Genomic DNA, 24,431 nt, shown 5'->3' with positions numbered 1-24,431 from the left:
GGAGTAAGAGGAAGGATGAACCAGTGAGGCTGATCTGAGCTTAGAGAAAACTCTGAAGGACAAGGCAGGTGTTTTCACGAATGCATTACCCATAAAATCTCAGAGAGGCTGCACCTTGCCCTTGGGAATATTCCAAACCAGATCCTACTGGCATATTCTTCCGGATCACCTAAAGACTTCATATAAGAAACCTTCCCTCTTCACATCAGGTGCTCAATTTTCCTGTTTCTGTCTGAACTTTGCTCATTTAAAAAAAAATACAATAGATTTCACACTAAAGTTTTTATCTTCCTCCAGGGTATTTTTCTTCCATTTACTTGAGGAACGGTGCCCAGAAAATATTTTGAGAATGAAATTATAGCAAGAGTGAAATAACTTACAGAGCCTCAACCTTTTGGGGCATGATTTCATATTACTCATTTATAATAACTTCTGGTGTCTGGGAGTGCTATAGATATTTGTCCTGTTGCGTCATTGTGGGACATCTGAAAAATATTTTACAGGCAGCTTGCAAAGGAAAGACAAGTGATGGAGACAAGGCCATGGAAAGCTACAGCAGGGTCTGCATGGTGATCCCAGCACCTCTGAGCTCTCAGACTCACTTTAGGCAAGTCATTTTACACATCCCCTATCACCCCCTCAGGTTTCTTGCCTGCCAAACAGGGATAATAATATTTTTCTAATTTACCTCTCATGGTTTTCACGAATTTTTTTATAAAACAACATTCATAGGAAGGTGTTTTGAGGAAAAATATAAAGGTACACATAAGTCTTTACTATTTTCAGTCCTCAAGTTCCATTTGGGAACTTATTCCATTAGAATTAAGTTCTAGTTTCCACAGCTATCATCTCCCACTTGCTTTTGCAAAACCAAAATAATTTAAAGAGAGTTATGGGCTGAACTGTGTCCTCCAAAATTCATAGATTGAAACTATAACCCTGCAATGTGACTATATTTGGAGACTAAAAACACCTTTTTGCAACAGCTGGAAATCAAATAAAATACAAACTTCAAAGATACCTTTGTGTCTGTATGTATTGACTCCATTGAGTTAGGTTCTCAGCCTGAGAAAGGTCCTGAAGGCCCTTACTGGGAATGTCCTGACCTGCCACATGTAGCCCAGGCCTCTGGGATTTGGATTCTTAGGAGTTGAGCCAAAGTATAAGGTGACTAGTCTTGGACCTTGAATGGCCCTTACACCATGGAAAAATTTCCCTAGTTGCATTGGAATGCTTGGGCTTTTTACTTTGGTTGAGATTTGAGGTCACACAAATGTCCAATGATAGACGCTAATGTTGAAGTTTTTAAATCTCATTTTATTTTTATATGTTTATTCATTTGTTGTACTTTGTCCAGCTGGATCCAGCTAGACTTGAGGTTCCATGAAACTAACATGTGATTTGCTATAACTGCCTGCCAGGTGATCATTCTTCTAGACTCTATGGGCATGTCTTTGGCCAGAAATAATATTTTAAAATAACCTGCTGTACTCTGTACTCTCTCTCTCTATATATATATACGTATTTTTTTTTTTTTTTGAGGAGGAGGGGGAGGAATGGGACACATTGACATGAATCCCTCAGCAGGTGATTTTGTAAGACTCAGCAGCGTAGCCTGTGCTGTTATCCAGACTAAAGAAAACATCCATTTCACCTTCATCTCTCTGGCTATGCAACCACCCTCAAATCAACGTTACTGAAAGAATTCTTCAAATTAGCACCACAGAAAGGATACTGTTCTGTGTCTGTCAGAGCTGTTTTCTCCCTCCCTTTTCAGCTGTGCTTTTCCACCTGCAGAAAACTCCACCTACTTCCTAAACCTAAAAGCAGGCAGTATGCAGGGAGGCATGCCTTTACTAGCAGGAGGGGTCTGAAAATAGCTGTTTAGCTATAAATTCAGAACCTGGTACACCTGGTGTGAGTGCTGGGCACCTGGGGCCTGACCAAATGGTAGTCCTCTTCTTCCCTCCGCATTCTGGGCCTGGTCCACATGGCCTGGCCTTCTGCCTCAGCTTCCTGCTGGGACTTGAGCCCTTTGCCGAGTCACAGCTCTCTGGACTAAGGCCCTACACGTTGCCTGGCTTCTCAAAGACCTTTCCCTCGGGGAGAATAAACATGCTCCCATAGTCTCTTTTCACTCTTCCTCCTTCCTCAGTGTGGGCAACCATTGCCTTCCTAGCAACTGGCTAGGCTCCTGTGTGAACACAGATACCCAGAGGAATGTCACTGTATTGTAAAGATTGAATATTCAGTGCCAAGTTTGAATACGTCCTGGTGGGGGGATGATGGCTTAGCCAATCAGCTGACATGTGGGACAGGAGCTGAGAAGAACATTCTCATCCCCAAAAATTGTATATAGCCCTTATCTGCTCCAAACCACATATAGAAGAGAAACCTAAGGCTCAGAGAAAAAGCTGAGGCAAGACACTATGAATCATTCATTACTTATTATTCAATAAATACTGAATATGTAGTAGGTGCAAGATAGGCACTGCTGTGGTTTCTCTTTCATTTGAGAGATTTTCTTGGTTCAACAGAAGTCCCACCCTTCCTGTATAAACAAATCTTAGCATAGCAAAAAATGAGGTTATGACACTGAGTTCTCCCTCTATTAAACCACAGGCTCCACGAGTAAAGACTGTGAAGGAGGAGCAGTGAGATTAGTCTTTTCTTTCAGAATCTGCAGAAGCCACTTCTGCTGCGTGATTAGAGAAGTGAGTTTTTTCTCTAACCTCCTTCCAAACAGTTTCTATGCCCCACAGTTTGTGGATTTTCAATAGGCAAGGGATGGGGGTGCAAACTCATAACTGGAAAGTCTGACGGGAAACGTGTATGAAAGAAAATATGAAACATGCAAACCTGAGGAAAAAGAAATCCTTTATCTAGTGAAGTCTTTAGTAACCATATTTCAAGAACTCTGATATTGTCCAGGCTTCTAATGAATGGCCTTCTGGCAATTCTTAAATCTAGAGCTTTGGTTTTCTTGTTGTTGTTGTGAATCCACATACCCCAGTCTCCACAAGATTCCATGGGGGGCTTAAAACAATAATCCTTAAACAATGCTATGAAAGATTATGCAGTCATGAGAAAATGATGTCTGGCAGCGTGTAGCTTACTCCAACAGGGCTTTCCATTTATTATAATAAAATAGCCTCTGTACTACCTGTCTGTCCATTCTCACACTGAAGGTTCCTTTTACTTGTGAAATGATTGGGGCGCAATAGAGGCCGAGTCCAGAGGCCTCACTCAGTCTCCTCTGAGAGGACAAGAACTGTTTTTTCATCTACCTCTGGTCTCTGTGCAGATAAGTAAGTTGCTTTCTCTGTATTTGAATTTCACTGAAACCATTGCTTAGCGGCAGCAACAATAAAAAGACTTCCTTTAAAAAATATATACATATATGTGTATGTTTGCATATGTAGATACAGATATATATACATACAGGCATGTGTATCTTCAAAGGTAAAAAAATCCATTTATGGCCGGGCGCGGTGCTCACGCCTGTAATCCCGGCACTTTGGGAGGCCGAGGCTGGCGGATCACGAGGTCAGGAGATCGAGACCATCCTGGCTAACACGGTGAAACCCCGTCTCTACTAAAAATACAAAAAATTAGCCGGGTGTGGTGACGGGCGCCTGTAGTCCCAGCTACTCGGGAGGCTGAGGCAGGAGAATGACGTGAACCCGGGAGGCGGAGCTTGTGGTGAGCCGAGATCGCGCCACTGCACTCCAGCCTGGGTGACAGAGTGAGACTCCGTCTCAAAAAAAAAAAAAAAAAAAAAAAAAAAAAAATTCCATTTGTTATTGCATTAGTTAATATTTAGACTATGAAAAATAGTTTAATAAGAATAATAACAAACATTTTTTAACGTATCTATGCCAGGTGCCTTGTTGGTTGCTTGATCATAGTAACACTACGGCAGCCATTATTAATATTCTCATTTTACATAGTAGCACATAAAAGGTATAAAACGGGACAAAAACCATCATCCTTCATGAAATTTAAAATTTTCCCCTAGGTGTTTTTTTAAGTCATATTTCAAAAAGATAAGAAAAATGGAACATCTGCTCAGTGAAACTTCAGGCAGAAAACGATGAACTCTTAGATTAAGCCAATTGTCCATAGGCAGTTTCTCTTGGCTTTCCTTAATAATTTAGGAATAATGTTTCCTTCTTCTTATGAAGTGATTTTGGCATCTTTGATTTGTATTACTTCGGAAAGAGCAAAGTTGGTTAATTAAAATCATAAACCTAGATGAGCTAGGTTAGGATTCTACTCTGCTAATAACTTTAATATTTCATGGTGTCTTAGCCTATCTAATAATGAGAAAGTGACTACTTTATCTTTCAAATATTTTCATTTACTTTCTTATGAGCAGCACAGCTGAAAGTTTTGTTTTGTTTTAAATGAGAAAAAAAGTATTTGTGACAATAAAAAAGCAATCATGTTTCTGGATATGTAAACATGAAATCTATAAAACAAATGTTTTGCTAAAATATGTCTTCTTTTATCACTGATTTATCTGACAGCAAAAATTGTTTTCCTGGGGAACAAAAGATTTTGTGGAGGAAAGTTTGTGTCCTAAAACAGGTTGATTATACAAACAATATATTGTAGAGTCAAGAATGAGAACCCATTTCTCTATCCAAATCAGAGATGCTTAGGTTTAAATGCTTCATTGAAATTGTCTTTGTGTTGATAGTTTAGCCACCATGCCTATCCCCTTGCCAATAATACACATTCATAAATCAGTCAGGTTTCTGTTGGATTGAAATATTGACACTTTGGCCAGAGGAAGAAAAACATGGTCAAACCAATTTGATGTCTTTGAGTCTGATTTCAGCGAATTTGATGGATCTGGCTCAAAAATATTTGTAAGTTTTAATAAGCTGCATTTAATTTTCCCCACCTCTAAACTGAGCAAGAGAGAAAATCTTAATATATAATAATAACAACCAAAATTCTCATGAAAACCTTTTTCTGTTCATTCAACCCAGAAGAAAAGGAAACTTTAATGAATGCCAACATGGACATAAAATACAGGGAACATTTTTAAATGTATTAAGCCAAACAGTGTAGTATAGTGGAAATAATATTTCAAGTCCTGGACTTGCACACTAGCTCTGTCATTTAATTGTGCGATGAGCCTCCTGAGCCTCAGAGTCTTCTTCTAAAAACTAGATCTATAATGCTTCTCTTATTTACCCCACAAGATTGCTGTATCTCAAGATTTATTCTGGTTAAAAGTCTTTTGTAAATATGTAAGTACTCCAAATCATTTTAATATTAATATTATCCTTTTTAAAAAAAAATTCGGGAGGAATGATAGTAGTTGATGTTATTGCTGTTGTTTAGAATGACAGCCTCCCAGGAGAACCATTTCCATTTTCATTGCAACTCGAGAGACAACGATCAATGCTATTCAAGTAATCTTTGTGTCATACAAGCAGGTCTGCATAGAACACTAGGTAATCAATAGTCTCTATTCTTTGATCCTGACAAAATGAATGATCAAAGCATTCTAAACAGTCAATAAGCCTGACTCTTTTAAAATAAATCAAGTATTTTATTACTTTTCCCTGAAGTGACTGCCCGAATCAGGGAGGGGCAGAGGCAGACATGCCCACAAAACTAACCAAGAAAGTATCCTCTGGTTAAATCATTGTGAAGCAGAACTGTTATAATGCTTGGGGTTTGTAAGCATACTTAAAAGAATTATATATCTATATAAACCTGTTACTAAAGTTCTTCATAAAGGTGATAATTTAGGAAGGTAAAAGAGGGTAGATGGATACATGGATGGACAGGTAGACAAACAAGGGACCAATGGATAGACAGACATAGTAGATGGATAAATAACTTAAAAGTGTATGCTTTCAGTACCGATTTTAACAATTCAGTCAATTAGGAGAAAGAAAAAAAATTACTCTTAATGACATACCTAGGGATAATGACTGTAAATGTTTTAATACTTACTAATGTTCCTTATAGTATTTTTCTATGTATAGTTTCCTGTCAGTTTATTTTACAAAATTGAATTATATTATACTATGGGTTGATGTTTGTGTCAACCCCAAATTTATATGTTGAAACCCTAATCCCCAAGGTGATGATATTAGGAGGTGGGCTCTTTGGGGAGATGATTAAGTCATGAGTGGGGAGCCCTTATGTATGGAATTAGTGCCCTTATAAAATAGGCCCAATCTCTTGTTTTCTCCTTCTCACATGTGGACACAGCCAGAAGATTCTACCTGTGGATCAGAAACTAGACCCTCACCAGACACCAAATCTGCTGGAGTATGGACTTCCTAGCTTCTAGAACTGTAAAAGAGAAATTTCCGTTGTTTATAAACTACCCAATTTGTGGTATTTTGTTATAGCAGCCTGGATGGACTAAGACAACATATTCTATTTTAAAATCAACTTTGTTGGGGGTATAATAAAATTTGTAAATTTTAAATATAAAACGATAATATTTTGATTTTTAAAAAAGTCTCATGTACCCACTATCCCTAACAAGACATAAAACATTTATATCACCAAAATGGTCCCTTGTACCCCTTTGCAGTGAAGCCCCTCTCAAACCGTGCCCCTCGATGTCACTGATATGTTTTTTGTTGCCATAGATTAGTCTTGTCTACTCTAGAAATTCTTATATGGAAACACAGAGTTTGTAATTATTTGTGCCTGGCTTTTATTCCCTTGGCATAATGTTTTTGAGATTTATTCATGCATCCATAGTTTGTTCTTTTCATCATTGAGTACTATTCCACTATAGGAATTCAATACAATTTGTTTATTCATTTACCTTCTGAGGAACATTTGGCTTGTTTCTAGTTTTTTGGTATTAAGAATAAAGCTATTATGAACATTTATATATTAAATATGAAAGTTTGAATGATGTTTTTTATACTCAATATAAAACAGAAGTGTTTATCAATTATTTGTAAAATTTTCAGAAATATTATTATACATGCCTAATTTTCATTCAGTGGATACACCATAATTTACTTAAACACCCTCTATATTTGTACATCTAAGTTGTTTCTCATTTTTTTAATCAATAATAATGTAAGAAACATCTTTGCTTTTTCTCCGCTTTGAGTGCCAGCAAAGTTTTTAAGAGCAGTTCAAAATTAAGCTGAGATAAAAATTTGAAAAAAAAATGCTCAACAATGTTTTTTTATTCTTTCGTCTTAAATATACATTAAAACATTGGACATTCTACCAGGATAATTAAAAAATGCATTCTAAATTCTAGATGCCTTCTAAAGAGTTTCGTCTCTTCCTGGCTTTTATTCTTTTCTTTTTTTCTTTCTTTTTTCTTTGCTGAGAGTTTCTGAAGAGTGTTAGCTTCATTTGCTGTTTTTTCCCCTTTTCAATTGACAATCACCTTGATGAATAGAGGAAGCAATGCATCTTAACTCTCTTTGGATTAATTGGAAGGAAAGAAACTGTTCAATGAAGCCAGATATGTAGGTGGTGAGAATTGTTTGTTTTTTTCTTAAGCTTGGAAAGTGTGCTTCTGCAACATGGCAGTCGAGCCCCACATCAAAGAAGCAAAATATAGAATAACAGCATAAAAAAGAAAATTCTTTTTGGAGCCAAAAAAATGATCAAAACAAAGCTTCAAAGGTAGAGCCTATAGTGACAGAACTGCTGGGGACTGAAGCGTTTAAAATACACCTGTGTTTATGCTAATTGGAAAACTCATATTCACAATCTCAACAGTCCTTAAACAAGCAACATACTTACTGTGTGTTTCTGTTCTAAATGGCCCCAGTATCATTTTTCTGGGGAAGAGAACACTGGGTCCATTTCTGTACTTTGTCTTAAAGAACAAGACCATGCTCAAGGTATTTAAAAATGTAACTCATACAAGTTAAGTAATGTTCTCTAATTTATCCCTCTGTTTTCCATACCAAGAAATGGACCCTTAAAATACCTCATTGCCTTCAGTTCTTCTTTGCAATTACTGTGGTCATATTTGCATAATTTTAATAATTATATATTTGCATACCCTGTCTTTCTCTCAGGGATTCTATAGCACATCCTTGAATTGTGTTTATCCAATCCACATTTCTCTTCTGCTGGACATTCAGAGGACTGTTTCTCACTAATATCAGGTATGCGGGTCTGGCGATGTTGCCATCTCAATGCCCAGCCAGCTGGTAAGGGAGGGTCACAAGACCCAAGATGGGTAATTGTAGTTACCCACACACCTAGCTATGGTGATTGGTCTAAAATGATAGTAAATTGCTCAAATCCAGCCAGAGCATCTTCCCAAAGATTTTTTTTTAAGAAGCCTTGTTCCAATGATGTATTGGAGCTAATCAATGGGCTCTTACTGGTTCATACAAGCCAACTGCTAAATTTTCAGGAATTTTGCAAGCTAGTCAATAAAATGCTGGCAGCTTGAAATCAGCCATGATGGGGGTATTTACAGCACAAAAATGTCAAAGTGCTACAAGTTGGGATTTCTCTTTTTTATTTTAGCTTTTAATTTCAAAGAACAAAAACAATATCTTTTCTTTATAATCTTTCCTCCAAGAATGTATTCTGTTATGCTTAACACATCTTTGTGAGTCACATTATGAGGCTTTAATCACAATAACGGTATTATAGTGAGATGTGGTAGTGTTAGGATGGGAATCAGGAATGAGGACATCGTGTTTTTCAGACCTAAGGTCTCACTTCTACAGACAACATTGAACATTCAGGTTTCAGAATCAGAGAGTTGAGTTCAAATCCTACCTCTGGCTCTCACAATCTAACATGGGCATGTTCCTCAAGCCTATCTTCAGGATGGTTTGGTTGTGTGTTAATATTTGATAGAGAGGTATAATCTTTCCCTAAAAGTGAATTTCCTCTCCCCTTACCTCGAAGTGCTTCCCAGAATTCACAGAATGTTTTGTCGCATATTTTTTAATTCCAAAATTCTTGGCAATAATTTTCTAGACCGCACTGTATCTGCTGATAAGCACCTTGTGTCTGTGTGGCATTTTTTACTTTTCAAACTATTTTCCAATTTCTGCCGCACTAGATCAGATTCTTGAAATGCAGCCTATATCTGAGATAGCATTCATCTCAAAGAGAGACATAGTTTGGTGACTTCTTAAGAAATTTGAAAGGATCTGTTCATTTGTTACCAGCAACACCTTTTGTTGATAAAGTGCCTTATGAAGTTTTCATTGATTATGAACTCACCAGTACATATGTGATTATACACCCCAAAAAGGTGTCAAGCTTTGAGCCTAACTTACCATACAGCTATGGATAGATAGATAGATAGATAGATAGATAGATAGATAGATAGATAGATAGATAGACAGAGGCATACATACATACATGTGTGCATATAATGACACATATATACATAAAGGCCCAGATGCAGAACAAAATTTTTGCTTTGAGAAATGCTGTGGTCTAGTTGGTTTGGAAATTCTGGTACCTTAGCTTATACACCAGGAGATGTTGATGATTAATTTTAGTTGTTAACTTGATTGGATTAAGGAATACTCAGATAGCTGGTAGGGCATACTTTTGCCATATGTCTGTGTGGTTGTTTATGGAAGAGATTGGCATTTGAATCAGTGGGCTGAGTAAGGAAGATCTACCCTCATCCAAGGTAGGTGGACATCATCCAATCAGCTGAGAGCCCAGATAGAACAAAAAGTCAGAGGAAAGGTGAGCTTGCTCTCTCTCTTCTCTCTCTCTCTCTCTTCTGAAGTTGGATACCCTCCTTCTCCTTCCTTTGGACATCAGAACTCCAGGTTCTCCAGTCTTTGGACTCCAGCATTTGCACAAACACCTGAAGGTTCTCAGGCCTTCCGCCTTGGAATTGGAGCTACACCACTGGCTTCCCTGGCTCTCCAGCTTGCTGAGGGCATATTGTATAACTCCTCAGCTTACCTAATTGCATGAACCCCTAATAAGTTCTATCTAGTGCCCTATTGGTTATGTCTTTCTGGAGAACCCTAATACAAATATCATACTTAAATTTCACTGTTCATTTCAATAAATATTTATTGAGCACATTTCTGTGTTAGAGACAGAGACATCTGTACTTGAATCTCTCAAGCAAATCTCCATCTTTAAAGAATGTAACCTGAATTTTTTGATCATTCAAATCAAAGTATTCTCATAAGTAACATTTAATGTAACTTGTTAATTTTCCAATGATTCTTACTCTCAGAAATTGTTTGGTTGCTTCATGAAATTATTACAATGAAATATTTCTTCTAAAAAACTTCCTCAGCTATTTGTCTCAGTCAGCTAGGGCTGATATACCAAAATACCATAGACTGGGTGGCTTAAACAATAGACATTTATTTCTCATAATTCTGGAGGCAACATGCCCAAGATCAGGGTGCCAGTATGGCCAGGTTCTTATTGAGGGCTCTCTTCCTCACTTGCTGATGGTCACCTTTCTGCTGTATCCTCACATAGTGGAGAGTGAAAGTTCTGATGTTTCTCCCTCTTCTTATAAGGACTGATGCCATCATGGAGGCTTTACCCTTATGACCACATCTAAACCTAATTCCTTTTCAAGAGCCCCACCTCCTAATACCATGACACTGGGGATTAGGGCTTCAACATATGGACTTTGGTGGACCACCAACTTCAGTCCCTAACACCACTGCTATAAGAATGAATGTTTGTGTCTCCCCAAATTCATATTTTGCAATCTAATCCTTAATGGTATAATATGAGAAGGTGGGGCCATTGGGAGATGATTAAGTCATGAAGGCTCTGCCCACATGAATGGCATTAATGCCCTTATAAAAGAAACCCCAGAGAGCTAGCTGGCCTTGTCTGTCATGTAAGCATGCAGCAAGAAGGTGCCATGAGCAAGAGAGCAAGCCTTCACCAGACACCAAATCTGCCAGCAGCTTGATTGTGGACTTATCAGCCTCCAGAACTGTGAGCAATAAAGTTTCTTTTGTTTATAGACTATACAGTTCATGGTACTTTGTTATAGCAGCCCAAAAGTACTAAGACAACTACCTCTTGGGAGACTTCTAGGTGTGCTCATTACAACCTTCTTGACCTGGACCTCATCTGTGTTGCTGATTTATGTGTCAGTAATGGGAACAACAACAAAGACTGTCAAAGGCAGGAAAATAGCATATATTCAAGGACTTTAATAGGAAAAAAGGGCAGGATTTAACTTGATAATGCCATAATTGTCTTAACACCAAACTGAAAGAAGTGGCATCACTAGAGCTGTGGCAAAGGATCAACAGCTGGGGAGGTGCGAGAGACTGAAGGAAGATTCAAAGTGCTCCAGGAAGTTTCTTACCAGCATTATCTCCTGACCATGTGAGGGTTTTCTGTGCTTTCTTCATCAGGCCTTTTTCAGTTATGAGTGAATCCCAAATCAAACTGACTTAAGAAACACAAAAGTAAGCATGAAATATATTAGCTCTTGAATACCTGGGAAGTTCAAGGATCCAAGTCATGACTGGATGTAGGGGTTCAAATATTGTCCCTAGAACTAAGGGTATTTCCATTTCTTAGCTCTCAGAATCTCTGCTTCACCCCAGATAGTCTCTGCCCACATGGTGGCCCCAAGCAGTACTCCATGTAACCATGATGTCCAGGGACACAGAATGTTCTGATTGGCCGAGCTTGTATCATGTGCCTACCCTGGGGACTAAGGGGTGTGGTTAGTCCCACTTGAACCACATGACTTGGGGGTAGGATCTGGTCCCTAAGAAGAGATAAGAACCTTTTGATTAAAAGATGGGGAGAAGAGATGTTAGGATTTCAGTTCTCCATGACTAGTGTCTGGCTGCAACCCCAGGCAGGCAGTGTCCATTAAAACTTCAGGCTTTAAGGTCAAACAGACCTGTATTCATATCCTAGGTCTGCCACTTCCTAGCAGTGGGGACTCAGGAAAGTTGCATAATCTCTCTGTATCTATCTATAAAGTGGAAATATTAATTATACCTTGCTCATAGATTTCCTGTGAGGATTATATGAGACCATGAGTGTATAGAAAGCACAATATAGTACCCGGCAAACAGTAACCAAGCACTTAAATATGTAAAGAAGGACGTGTGACTGACAAGCATAGATAATTTAGAGACAAAATGAATTTTATCTCTGAAAAGTCATGGGCACCTTTTAAAATCATTGATAAGAAGATGGAAACAAAACTCAAACTTAATTCATCTACTGGTATGAAATGTTTCATAGGTGTACTAAGGTGTTTCTCAAACATTTCGTAAGGATTTCCATCACTACATTAAAGATTTTCTCAATGGTTTCATGACTTCAGAGAGGTAACCACTATTTAGCTTCTGCACCTTTACTAAAAGTATGTGCATGATTTAGGAGAAATATTTTGAAATATTAGGGTTTTTCACAGCCCTAAATTACTCTTTTGTGGTCATCGGCAAATGCAGGCTACCTGGTTATATATTTTGATGGGGAAGAAGAGGGGAAATTCAGGACCTACATAAGAGATTAAAGTAAAATCTAATACAAAATTGAGATTGGTAACACAGCACAGAAGTGCCAAAACTGCATGGATAAGTGATTTTGAAAACCATCAAACAGACATTCCACAAGGTCAACCAAAATGCAGTGTGCCGGAGAGTAATGAGTGACTTTAGTCCAATAGTTATTCAAGTGCCTGAGAGAAAGTTTTTCTCTTCTGCTAGCCTCTTTCCCTTATAGGAGAATATTATGTAATGCATACATTTCATCTTACCTTTAATTGCCTGGTTTAATAATAAATACTTAACAATTTTTTTGTAATTTTTGCCATACCGGAGGAGAAATCTGTCTTGGTGTTGGAGCCTCTTGGAATTCGTGACAAGGAAAAAAGTACACCAAGTAAACTAGTAAAACAAAAGGTAAGAAGGCCCAATCCAAAATCCAAAGAAGTCCATTTACTTTTCTTCTGTCCTTCATTTTTTCCTCCTTCCCTCTCTTCCTTCTTTCCTTTCTTCCTTACTTCTTTCTTTTAAGCACAAGCAATATGTGACTATTTTGTCACATTCAAATGATATTTTTACAAACAAAAGAGCCAAATTTGATAATATGCTGAAGTTATGTGCCATACAAATACATAATCTTTGATGTTCAGGATTGAATTTGCCTTGTTAATAGCAATGATTTTCTACGTCAACTACACCAAAACACCTAAGTGAAAAATCCACTTGACTTTCTTGGTAATATCACAATGAACAGCCAAACAGTTTCATAATTAAATGCACCTTAAAAATTATTTCATGGGCATATTATAGACATTACCCTTATGAACTTCAATTGGAGTTGTCTTTCAGTATAAAATTTAGTACTTCTCCTTTGGTGAATAATAATAAAGTAGTTAAAGTAGTGTCATGGTTTGAATGTACCAAAGTTCATTTGTTGGAAAATTAATCCCCAATTTAGCAGTGTTAAGAGGTGGGAACTTTCAGAAGTGTTTAGGTCATGAAGGCTCTGTCCTCATGAATGGATTGATGTTATTATCATGGAAGTGGGTTTCTGATAAAAAGGATAAATTTGGCTCCCTTCCCTCCTCTCTCTTTTGCATACATGCTCTCTTCCCTTTCTTCCTCCTGGCATGTATGACACAGTGAGAAGGCCCTTGACAGATGTGAGCCCCTTGACCTTGGACTTCCCAGCCTCAAGAACCACAAGCCAAATAAATTTCTGTTCATTATACATTACCTAGTCTCTGGAATTCTGTTATAAGCAGCACAAAACTGACTAAGACAAGTAATTTTAATTTTTAAGGTACTCTCTCTTAAATTTCAAAAAATGGCCATAAGGTTTTTAAGCCCATGGGCTTTGGTATCAAACAGATGTAGGTTCAGTCTCAGATTTGTCATTTATTAATCATGATTTTGGAAAATTACTTAATAGATGTACATTCCAGTTTCTTCATCTATACAAAGAAGATAATTTTAAAAACTACATCAAGAATTGGTAATGAGGCTTAAATTAGAGATTTCATATAAAGAGCTCAGCATAACATCTGACAAATAATTAGCACACAATGCATTTTACTATAGATACTTAGATTCTATACTTGTTTAAATGTAGTTAGCTTGTTTGTTTTACTTTATTTTTAGAAGTCTTGGATCCATGAATGATGGATTGAAAAACAGATCAAATATTTTTTCTGTTTAAGTCCCATAGATCATGTGCTTATTGAGCATAGGGACTGGCTTAGTTACCATTTTTACCCCAGACCTTCCCAGGAGGCCTGAGACAGAGTAAGTACTGAATAAGCAAGTGCTGAACTTGTCATATTCTCCACACTTTTCTTTTACTTTTTGCATAACAGATGCTACCTTATGGGTGGGTGTGATTCTCCCTAGTCAACCTTGGGCAGAATTCAGCAATTCTCTTCATTCCCAAAGGAAAATCTACCTCATTGGACCCTGATTTAAAAAAAAAAAAAGGATTTTTCTGGAGATTCAGCAGTGGGGCAAGAAAAAGGATTTATATTACATAGCATGGGTTTTCTTTTCAGTCCTCCCAGATCCCTTTTGTCTTCAATCTTATAGACTTTCCAACAAAGCCCTTCCATCTCCACTCTCTCTATTTCAGCATCTTCCCTAAGAACTGCTTTCTTTACCCATTTTATATACAAAATAGTTTAGCCTCTGTAATCTGGCATCCACATTGCTTTATGCAGTCATGTGTTACTTAATCATGCAGTATGTTCTGAGAAATGCAACATGAGGTGGCTCTGTCATTGTGAAAACACCATAGCATACTTACACAAACCTAAGTGGTATAACGTACTACACCCGTAGGCTATGGGGCATAGCCTACTTATCCTAAACTACAAACCTGTATAGCATGTTACTGTATTGAATACCATAGGCAATTGCATTTGCCTTAAACGTTTACACGATGTTAATTATTTTTGTATCTAAGTAGATACAAATATGGAAAAGGTACAGTAAAAATAAAGCATTATAATCTTATGGACCACCATAAGATGTGTGGTCCATCTTTGACTGAAACATCATTAGGAAGTGCATGATTGTACTCTCTTTAAGGTAAGTAAACAAAAATTCTTCCATGTTTCAGGTTCTATTTTCTCTGAATGGGACGCTATAAATAGCAAATGTCATTGTCTCTCAATTCTATTTTTTTCTTTTCCTATAAAGATTATATTTAATTATTTATTTATTGTCACACTAGACTGTAAACAGTGTGAGCACAAAGACTGTCAGTCAAGTTCACCACTTCAGCATCAACCTACAACATAACGGGCATTCAGTAAATATTCATTTGTATCTAGTGAGCTTGCATGTGTGTGGATATGCACAGGTATGCATGCGTGTGTTTGTGAGCATGTGTGTGTGTTGGGGAAACAGTATTATCTTTCTCACACTTACATTAACGACTCCTTTAATATTTTCATTTATCAAAAACTTGATCAAATCCTGTGATGCTTTAGCTAATGAGTGAGGATATTATACTCAATTCCAGATGTCGAATCAAAAAGATTATAAAATAGAGTTTCATCAAAGGAAAACAATGCTTTTGATAATAACAGCAAAGGCATACTACTTCTTCTGGGAGAAAAGTAAATTTTGACATACTAATTCTCATTAGATTCAGACATAGAAGCCTTAGAGATATTCAGTTTGGTGTTTTTATTATATTTCCTTCATCCACATTGTCAATTCTTTTGTTTTCTTGCATTTTTATTTTTAATTGTCCTTGTATTCCTCTTATCCTGTGGCCAATTCCCCTGATCCCATTTCTTATTTTCCTGCTGTGTTCACTTCTTTCACTTCCTAACTTGATTTATCTGCCTTGCTTGGTATCAGTTTCTAACCTTTTCCCTTATTTTCCTCTGACTTCTTCTTATCCCCCAGCTAATCTTTTGACCTTTTTGTAATCTCTTTTCTTTCCACATTATCTTGTTTTCAGAGTTGTCCTTATCTGCTTAGCCCTCAGTCAAGTTCAGGGGAACATTCAATCTGAAAAGTCTTTAGCCTATAAATGGATTACCAGTTGTCTCAGAAGGGTTGGCTCACCAAGATACCTGAAAAAGAGCCTTTCTGTTTCCAAGGCCTTTCCTGAATAGATGAAGCCTCCACATTCTCTTCCCTGCTCTTCCTCACTGTCCCACCTGCTCAGTGTTTTGAATTCTTCAGGCACAATTTCTAAGTAAAACAGGCACATTGGTTAGCTCAAGTTTTACCCAATTATTTATTGTTTTCTCACCCTTTTCCTCTACCTTCTGTCTTAAGGTTTTTAAAGACTGAGGGGCAACTTGGCACAGGCCTGCCTGCATCTTTCAGATTTAAATTGATACTCTAAAAAGCCTGGCCACCTCCAAGGCAAATGTTTCCCGGGTTTCGATTTAGTTTTCATTAGGAACTGGGCAGCCCCGTGCCAGCCTGCCTGCCCATTTAAACAAGGCCTCTCTCAGGGGATTATGCAGTTGCAGGCTGAAATATCTATATGCAAATGAGCCTTTCTGTATTTGCTATCAGCTATCACAGAAATTTTCCATTCCTTCAAAGCTATTTTTAAAAACACCAGAAAAACAGAGACAAAAAAGAAGCAAGAAAATCTGTTTAACATAGATGGAAAGCCTGAAGAAAGAGTGGAAGGTTAGCTCCCACCCTCCTCACTCCCACCCCACCCCACTTACCCCTTCAAACAGCTGCAAGAGGTAGAGAATCCACCGCCCAGTCCCATGGAACATAAACATATCCTTAGGCAAGGTTATTTTACAGTTCTAATTTAACCAAAATAAATAGCTGGAGCACAACAGAAGTAAGGAAGCTTCTCTTGAGGTGAAAAATATAAGGAAGCTCAGAGCCGGTCAGAAGTTTGTGAACAAAATAAATGCGATATTTTAAAAGTATAGAATTAAATCTATATTATTTGCATAAATATAGGGGAACAGCATTGTGGATGTGATGGTGCATGTATTATATAAACTTAAAAGTATTTTTATGTTTTGAGTTGCAAGGTGTATTTGTGCAAATGTTGAGTATTTTGAGACCCAGTCAAACGTGGCTATTAGTACTTGAGCAGGTCTTTTGGGCTTCAGTTTCCTCACCTATAAATTAGGGACTAAACTAGATCAGTGGTTCCCAAATTATTAGAAGACCCCTCACTACTTTAACTTCACATTTGGAAACAATTTCAAACTTAAATAAAAATTACAAGACAAATACAAGGAACATTCATTATCCTTTACCCAGATTCTCGTACAGTTAACATTTTGTCCCCACTGTTTTACCATTGCTTCAATCAATTAATCAGTCAATCTATCTACCTATCTAATCTACCAATCTATGATTTTTTATTTTTTATTTTTTTTGGAAACAGAGTCTTGCTCTGTCGCCCAGGCTAGAGTGCAGCAGTACGATCTCGGCTCACTGCAACCTCCACCTCCCAGTTCACATGATTCTCCTGCCTCAGCTCTCCGAGTACCTGGGATTATGGGTGCACATCACCACACCCAGCTAATTTTTTGTATTTTTAGTAGAGATGGGGTTTCACTATGTTGGCCAGACTGGTCTCAAACTCCCGACCTCGTGATCCACCTGCCTCGGCCCCCCAAAGTACTGGGATTATGGGCGAGAGCCACTGCACCTGGCCCAATCTATAATTTTTTACTGAATGGTTTGAAAGTTACATACATAATGCTCCTTTATTTCTAAATTTCAGTACAGTTTCAACTTCTTTTCAAGTTCATGTGCAAATAATCCATTGCAGAAAAATCTACCATTGTTGATTAAGACTCTAAGGCAGCAAATACTTTCACTGACCTCTGTAAAGAATCGTTGCAGCAAACACTGTCATTTTCTGGTGACCACGAACTTAAAGTAACCTGATGTTTACTCCCTGATCTTTTGTTTCTCATTTGAAGTTGGGCATAACAGTGAATACCATTTATAATTTGCTTACTTTGTGCCAGGCAATTATATATGTTACTTTACTTAGCCCTACAACAAATGTTCAAAGTAGACATTATGAAATAGGTATATGAACAAAGGATGGAGAGAAATGAAGTAAATGATGCTTAGTGTCATTTTAGATAGGCCAATCAGAAAAGACCTTCTGGAAAAGATGACATCTAAATGAAGAAGTCTGACCCTGTTGGAAAAAAAAAAAAAAGAAAAGATTCCTGGTTCCCACAGTGACTTTATCAGTTAGAAACTACATGCAACTATTAGAAACAGAAACTCAAGTTCAGAAATCCAAAGAAATTGGAAGTTCTTTTTCTTCATATGTAGAGAAAATTCAGAGGTAGGCAGTTCTGGGCTATTTTATTAACTCTACAATCATCAGGAATTTAGTTTCCTGTATTTTCATTAAGCCTTCTTACTGCATGCTTTCAATCCTAAAATTAGTCTTATGCCTAAGATGGCTGCTGGACCTCCAGCTATTATATTTACATTCTACATAGGCAGTAAGAGGAAAGGCAAAGGTCATATCTCCCTAAGGAGCTCCCTAAGTCAGCTGGCTTCTTTGAAGTGTTACCTGAAGACTTCTGTTTACATGTCATTAACTGAGGTAAGATTGAAAATGTGGGCTTTAGCTGGTAGCAAAGACATCCAGAATGAAATTAGGAGTTGATTGGTGGAAAGGGGAGAATGATATTGCATGAGGAGTTATCAGTCTTTGATTCAGAGATGTGAAAAAAAATTGGATTCTGTCTTAGTTTGAATTCACCCAAAAACAGGACCTGAGACTAGTTTATTTGAGAGGCGATCTCAGGAAGTAAGGGAGTTGGAAATGAGAACACAGTTGTCAGATTCAGCAAATAACAATATAGAAAACCCAGTAAATTTAAAATTCTGATAAAAAACCAGTAACTTTTTAGTATAAATATGTCCCAAACCTTGCATGAGAAATACTTATACTAAAGAAATTTTCCACTGTTTATCTGAAATTCAGACTGAGCTACCTGGCAGCCCTAGCAGGGAGAAAAGCCAATGAAGGGTACAATAATAAATAGGTAATCGGTGTGGACAACTGAGGTCCCGACTTGGCTGGGCACCTTCTGAGAAACCATATAAAATGTATCTTAGAATTGAGCTTCAGCAGGACAGAGAGACTGGGGCATTTTTCCATGGACTCCCATCACAAGGCCAGCAGTAACAACTCTTTGGCTCTTCAGAATTGTTCTGACTTGTAGCTAAGCAAGCTCATACTGCTAGGGAAGGACGCACTCCAGCAAGGAAACAGAGAGGAGCAGGCATTTAAAGTGGGAAGCATTCCACGGGGTACCTGAAACTGCCCACCATAGGGACAAAGAATTCAGAAGTGAGGCCTGGGGACATGCCACATGGTATCAACAGAGTCAGCTAGGGTTTCTTTTCATTCGCTCTCTTGCTTTACTTCTTGCTCACAAAGCAACTCTGTGATTGTCATACGGCTTCCTAAATGTTACAGGGAGAGGGTGGTTTGGGCCTGAGGCCTCCAGCCTTGTCATCCATCTGTGGCTTTCAATGCATAGGAATCGATGAATATTCTGCTCTTTTATATTGGCCATGGGAGCTCATCAATGTAACTGCTCCTAAGAAATGTACTTACTTTTAGGGTGCTGACAATGTATGTGTCTGGACCAGTAAGACTGTGGAACAGGCCTCCAGACAGTGCCAAGATGCTGTTACAAAGAACGGTATCCTCTGGAGCTTCCTGAGAGATAGCAGGCTTTCTCCTCACAGCCCTGCAACTTGGAATGATATTTCAATGGTTGAGTTGCATTTCCCCTATTTCGGATTTTTACACCCTTTATTTTCCAGATGAGCAAGTTGAATTTCTGGTGTGGACACTGCCCCACAAAAAGCTCGTTTTGTGTGAATTATTAGGTAAAGGCTTTGACTTTAAACCTTAAATCATTCTTAGCTTAATGAAAAGCACCTGGTAATTATATATTCATTTATATTTACAGAGTGGGGTCTTGGATTGATTCAGAGGGAGCTCACATTTCTTAGCAGAGTTTAATTAGCAACAGAAAAAGCATGAGGCTTCTTTCTTTAAGAGCTGTGTCTAACTCTAGTAGCTACTACAAAGCGCTCTGGGGTACGGTGTGAAATCAAAATGTTTTGTCTTCTTCTTGGAATGGGTAACTGAGGAGCTAGAGAAAGCTATGCTTTAATGCATAAAAATGCTTGAGTTATAGTTTTAAAATTTGATTAGGGTATGTGTTACCCTAGGTTCTTCAAGAAGCAGATCTACTTTTCCTATTTCACTTGCCTTGCCTCCTTCACACTGTTGCAGGTTTTACCCCCAAAGTACTCCCTCCATAAATTATCTGGCAAGAATCCTAAGACAAGCTCTGAAACAGGTGAGCCTGGGAGGCTCTGAGGTAGTGCCTAAGAGGGAAATGATGTAGACTGAAAGAACAAATGAGTTATTTTCACTAGGGGACCTGGTCTAACAGAAATAATTTCACATAGACATATTGGTGACAGTTTCCTGTCACTTTAAACTATAAATATTATATATACCAGTTTGCTAAACTTTCAGTTCTTAGTGTTAAGAACCCTAAATTTTATTCATAGAATAAAATGATTAATATGCTACTAGCTACTGCACAACTTCTCTTAGGCGGCAACTTTCAAGCAAGAGTCTCTAACGGCATGTCCATCTTTTTGCTGTGATTTGCTGGCAAGCAAACTTCACTGGCTAATTTTAATTAGAATCGTAGAATTTTATAGCTGGAACAAATTTTAGGGATCATGTAGTCCAACTCTCTTAGGTCATGAACAAACAGAAGCCAACAAAATCCAATTATTGCCCAGGGTCATTCAGCTACCAAATGGCAGAATAGGGATAATAATCCATTCTCACAGGCACAAAATCCAACAGTGTTTCCACTGAACCACATTATCTGTCCTTTACCAAACTTTATATTTTTCAGACGGAAGACAAATAAAGAGTATCCAACTGTTTCATTCATTACTCATTGAGTCATATCATTGGCTTTATAAATGAGTTACATTAGTATTTGCTTTCATCTAGTAATGAGTTTGTAATGTTAAATTATAAACTCATCCTCTGTTCTTTTTCTTTTTCTGTCTGTATAAGCTTCAGCCAATTACTACAAATAACAAAAAACATATGACTATCCACTGGAGGGAAGAGCTTACAGGCTGAACCACCGATATTGTGTTATTTCAGTTAAGATATGGCTGGAAGTTGCCTGAACTAGACTAAATGAACTCACTTCCAATAAGGCTTAGGTTGTCTCTAAATGAAATCAATGTTATCGATAGAAATATTGTTGCACACATATGTCCACATATACCTTGTTGTCCTTTGCCTTGAAAGATTTAATTATACAGAATAAAAAAGAAATCTTGCAGAGCCTAGCCATTTCCCTGTGATCTAACAAGATCAGTTTCCTTTCTCTTAATTATAGCTATTTGAGCACAGTGACCTTTATACCCATTAGGTTGATCTTCAAACACAAGCAGACCTGCCAGTCTTGAAAGATTACAAACCCTAAAGCCACTGGACATTTGTTTCTTATTGAATTTTTTGTCTCAGTTTGCAACAAAAGTGAGACCACCTAAAGGAAAGGTTTCTGTCTTAAGTGATATAATTTGGCTACTGGGAATTTACATTAGATTCCCTTCTGTAATGAACAGTTTTATACCAAAAGGGAGAATATTCCCCCTCAGGTGTCCAGGGCTAATGATGTAATCTTCTCCCTAATGAAATAAGGGCAGTGACTGCCATTTCCCAGTTCATAGTACGTCTTAAAAACCCAGTACTGTTGTTTACTTCCACTGAACATCTGGGAAGGAGGGATAAAGTCACAGTTGAGAAAGGTCCCTTTATCCTTTTAAGCTCTAGAAAAGAGAGCCTTCAATGGCTTCGATTTTCTGCCTGGTTATTTCGGCAGTTCCTCTGTTGAAAAATCTCAACCCCACATTAAATTGAAGATGGTTTATCATTATTTTCAAACCTCCCAAATGATCCATTACTAACATCTAACATCCAATTCAATCTAAGAGTGATAGTTATGTTAATAAGTTATATGTGCCTGAAGGACACATAGAATTTGGTGTGGTTCTACTGAGAGCCCTCTCCTAAGTTGCAGACTGCCAACTTCTCATTCTCATTGCATCCTCACATGGAGGAGAGAGAGAGAAAAGCAGGTCTCTTATGTCTTCTTTTTTTTTTTTTTTTTGAGACAGAGTCTCATTCTTTCCTTCAGGTGAGAATGCATTGGCACAATCATAGCTTACTGCAGCCTTGAACTCCTGGGCTCTAGTGATCCTCTGGCCTAGGCCTCCAGAGTAGCTGGGACTACAGGCTCACATCACCATATGCAGCTAATTTTTTTTTATTTTTTGTAGAGACAAGGGTCTCACTATGCTTCCCAGGCTGGACTCAAACTCCTAGCCTCAAGTGATCCTCTCGTATCAGCCTCCCAAAGTGTTTGGATTACAGGTGTGAGCCACCATGCCTGGCCTCTCACATTTTTTCATAAGAGCAGTGATCCCATTCATGAATGCTCCACGCTCATAAGCAAATTGCTTCCCAAAGGCTTCACCTCCGAAAATTACCACATTGGGAGTAGGATTTTAACATATAAATTTTGAGGGTACACAAACATTCAGTCCATTGCACCCTCTATAGACATCATGCTAATTTATATTTCCCTCAACAATGGATGGAAGTATCATTTTCTCCACACTATTTCCAATAGATTATTATAGTATTTTTTAACAATCTGATAAGTGAAAAGCGTACCTGCTACTCTTACTTTGTATTTATTATGAGACATGTTTAAATGATATTCGTGTTTGCACTCCTTAATTGTTAATTCATCAGTTTTTCACCATTTTTCTATTTATTGTGGCTCTTTACATATTCATTAAAGAGACCGAATGTCGTATGTACCCAAAGAATATTTTTGTATAGAGTATCTCCACTTCTGCAACATCAAAAGTTGATAAAGTAGTTTTGTTTCCCACAAAGTACTAGCTTATAATGGAATTCTACTATGTCCATAGTTACATAACAGCAGTAAGCCAAAGTATGGATTATTTCTGTTTATTCTTCCATTGTCAAATCAGCATTTCCCAAAATTTATTCAATGGAATGTTAGATATATATAATTCATAAAAAGGGGGCAGATGGAGTAAAATAAGAAATACTCTAGAGACAAATAATCTTGATTTAAACATAGTTAAATGAAATTATTTCTTTAAGGATTAATCAAAGTCTTAATGTGCTACATTTTTATGAAATGACCATAGTATAAATGTTCCAAAATTATTTGCCTGCAATATTGCACTAGTATTCTGCTGAACACATTTTGGGAGGTAGTCCTCTAAAGACTTTTACTTCGATTATGACTATTATTAAATTGTTTGCTTTGTAACAAGCCTTGAATTTTACAAGTAACGGTAAATACTTTTCATGCTATTATTCCTCATAATTAAATTGTAAGTTCTGACAATAAATCATTACCTGGTAACATCATTCATTTGTGCTATGGTTTTCATGTATGTGTCCCTCCAGAATTCATAATTTAGAACTTAAACCTCAAGGGGATGGTATTAAGACATGGGGCCGTTGGAAGGTGGGGCCTTTGGGCAGGCCATAAAGGCTCAACCCTCATGGATGGGATTTGTGTCCTTACAAAAGGGCTAGAGGGAATGAGTTCATCCTTTTTGCTTTTCTGTCTTTCTCCATATGAGGACCAGCAACAAGGCACCATCTTTGAAGCAAGAAACAGTCCCTTGCCAGACATCAAATCTGCTAGCACCTTACTCTTGGACTTCCACAACTGTGAACAATATATTCCACAAGAATGAACAAGTTACCCATTCTAAGATATTTTGCTAGAGCAGCCCAAACAGACTACAACAGTTTGATTTTCTAGTTATTCTTTCACAACACGGATATTAAATGGTGACCTGCCTCCATACACATATGTTTGCATGTTGGAGTGTGTTATGACCTCTGCATAGATCTGAATACATCTACTGTTTCCTCAGTAGTTCATGCTTATGGAATTCTTATGGGACCTGTGGAGACAAACACAAATCAGAAAGGAATGTGGGAGCTCACTGTTTTGAAATTAAGCACCAAAAATACTCCATCAGGTGCCTTGCGTAAAATATTTGTATGTCTTATCAATGTCACCTTCAGTGTTATAGCCGGAGTATTTCTTAATTACATTATCTGATTTTCACTGTAGCCCTGGGAAGTGGGTCATTGCCCCCATTTGGCAGATAATGACACAGATACAGGAAAGGTGACATGCCCAAAGCATCAGTGCTAGATAGTGACTGAGCTAGAGCTGACACTCAGGCACCTGAATCTGTCACCAGAACCTGCACCCTGTAGACACAGTTATACCCTCTTTGAAGCTAAGCTGAAGTGAATAAGACCACGTGTTAGAATAGTCACAGTCACCCACTGCTTCTAATCAGATACATTTATGTTTCCTTTCTGGATTC

General features: G+C 37.7%; 1 long non-coding RNA gene across 4 annotated transcripts in view; it reads left to right on the top strand.

Annotated features, from left to right (window-relative positions):
- LOC105375971 (uncharacterized) overlaps window positions 1–23,864 on the top strand; it is a 46,690-nt gene extending 22,826 nt beyond the window's left edge. The window contains exons 3-5 of one of the 4 annotated variants that reach the window (XR_929463.3): window positions 8,037–8,126; window positions 12,783–12,863; window positions 23,667–23,864. This is a non-coding gene — a long non-coding RNA (uncharacterized LOC105375971). Of the gene's footprint in view, window positions 1–6,237; window positions 6,468–8,036; window positions 8,127–9,730; window positions 10,342–12,782; window positions 12,864–13,589; window positions 13,683–23,666 lie in introns of those variants that run through there. The other 3 variants (XR_929462.3, XR_929465.3, XR_929464.3) reach the window with 3 other exon arrangements.
- Window positions 23,865–24,431: the final 567 nt, after the last annotated feature.

This window comes from Homo sapiens, chromosome 9, assembly GCF_000001405.40.
Source record: "Homo sapiens chromosome 9, GRCh38.p14 Primary Assembly".
NCBI lineage: Eukaryota > Metazoa > Chordata > Mammalia > Primates > Hominidae > Homo > Homo sapiens.
Note: the sequence above shows the minus strand (reverse complement) of the source record. Positions and strands in the feature narration are given on the sequence as shown.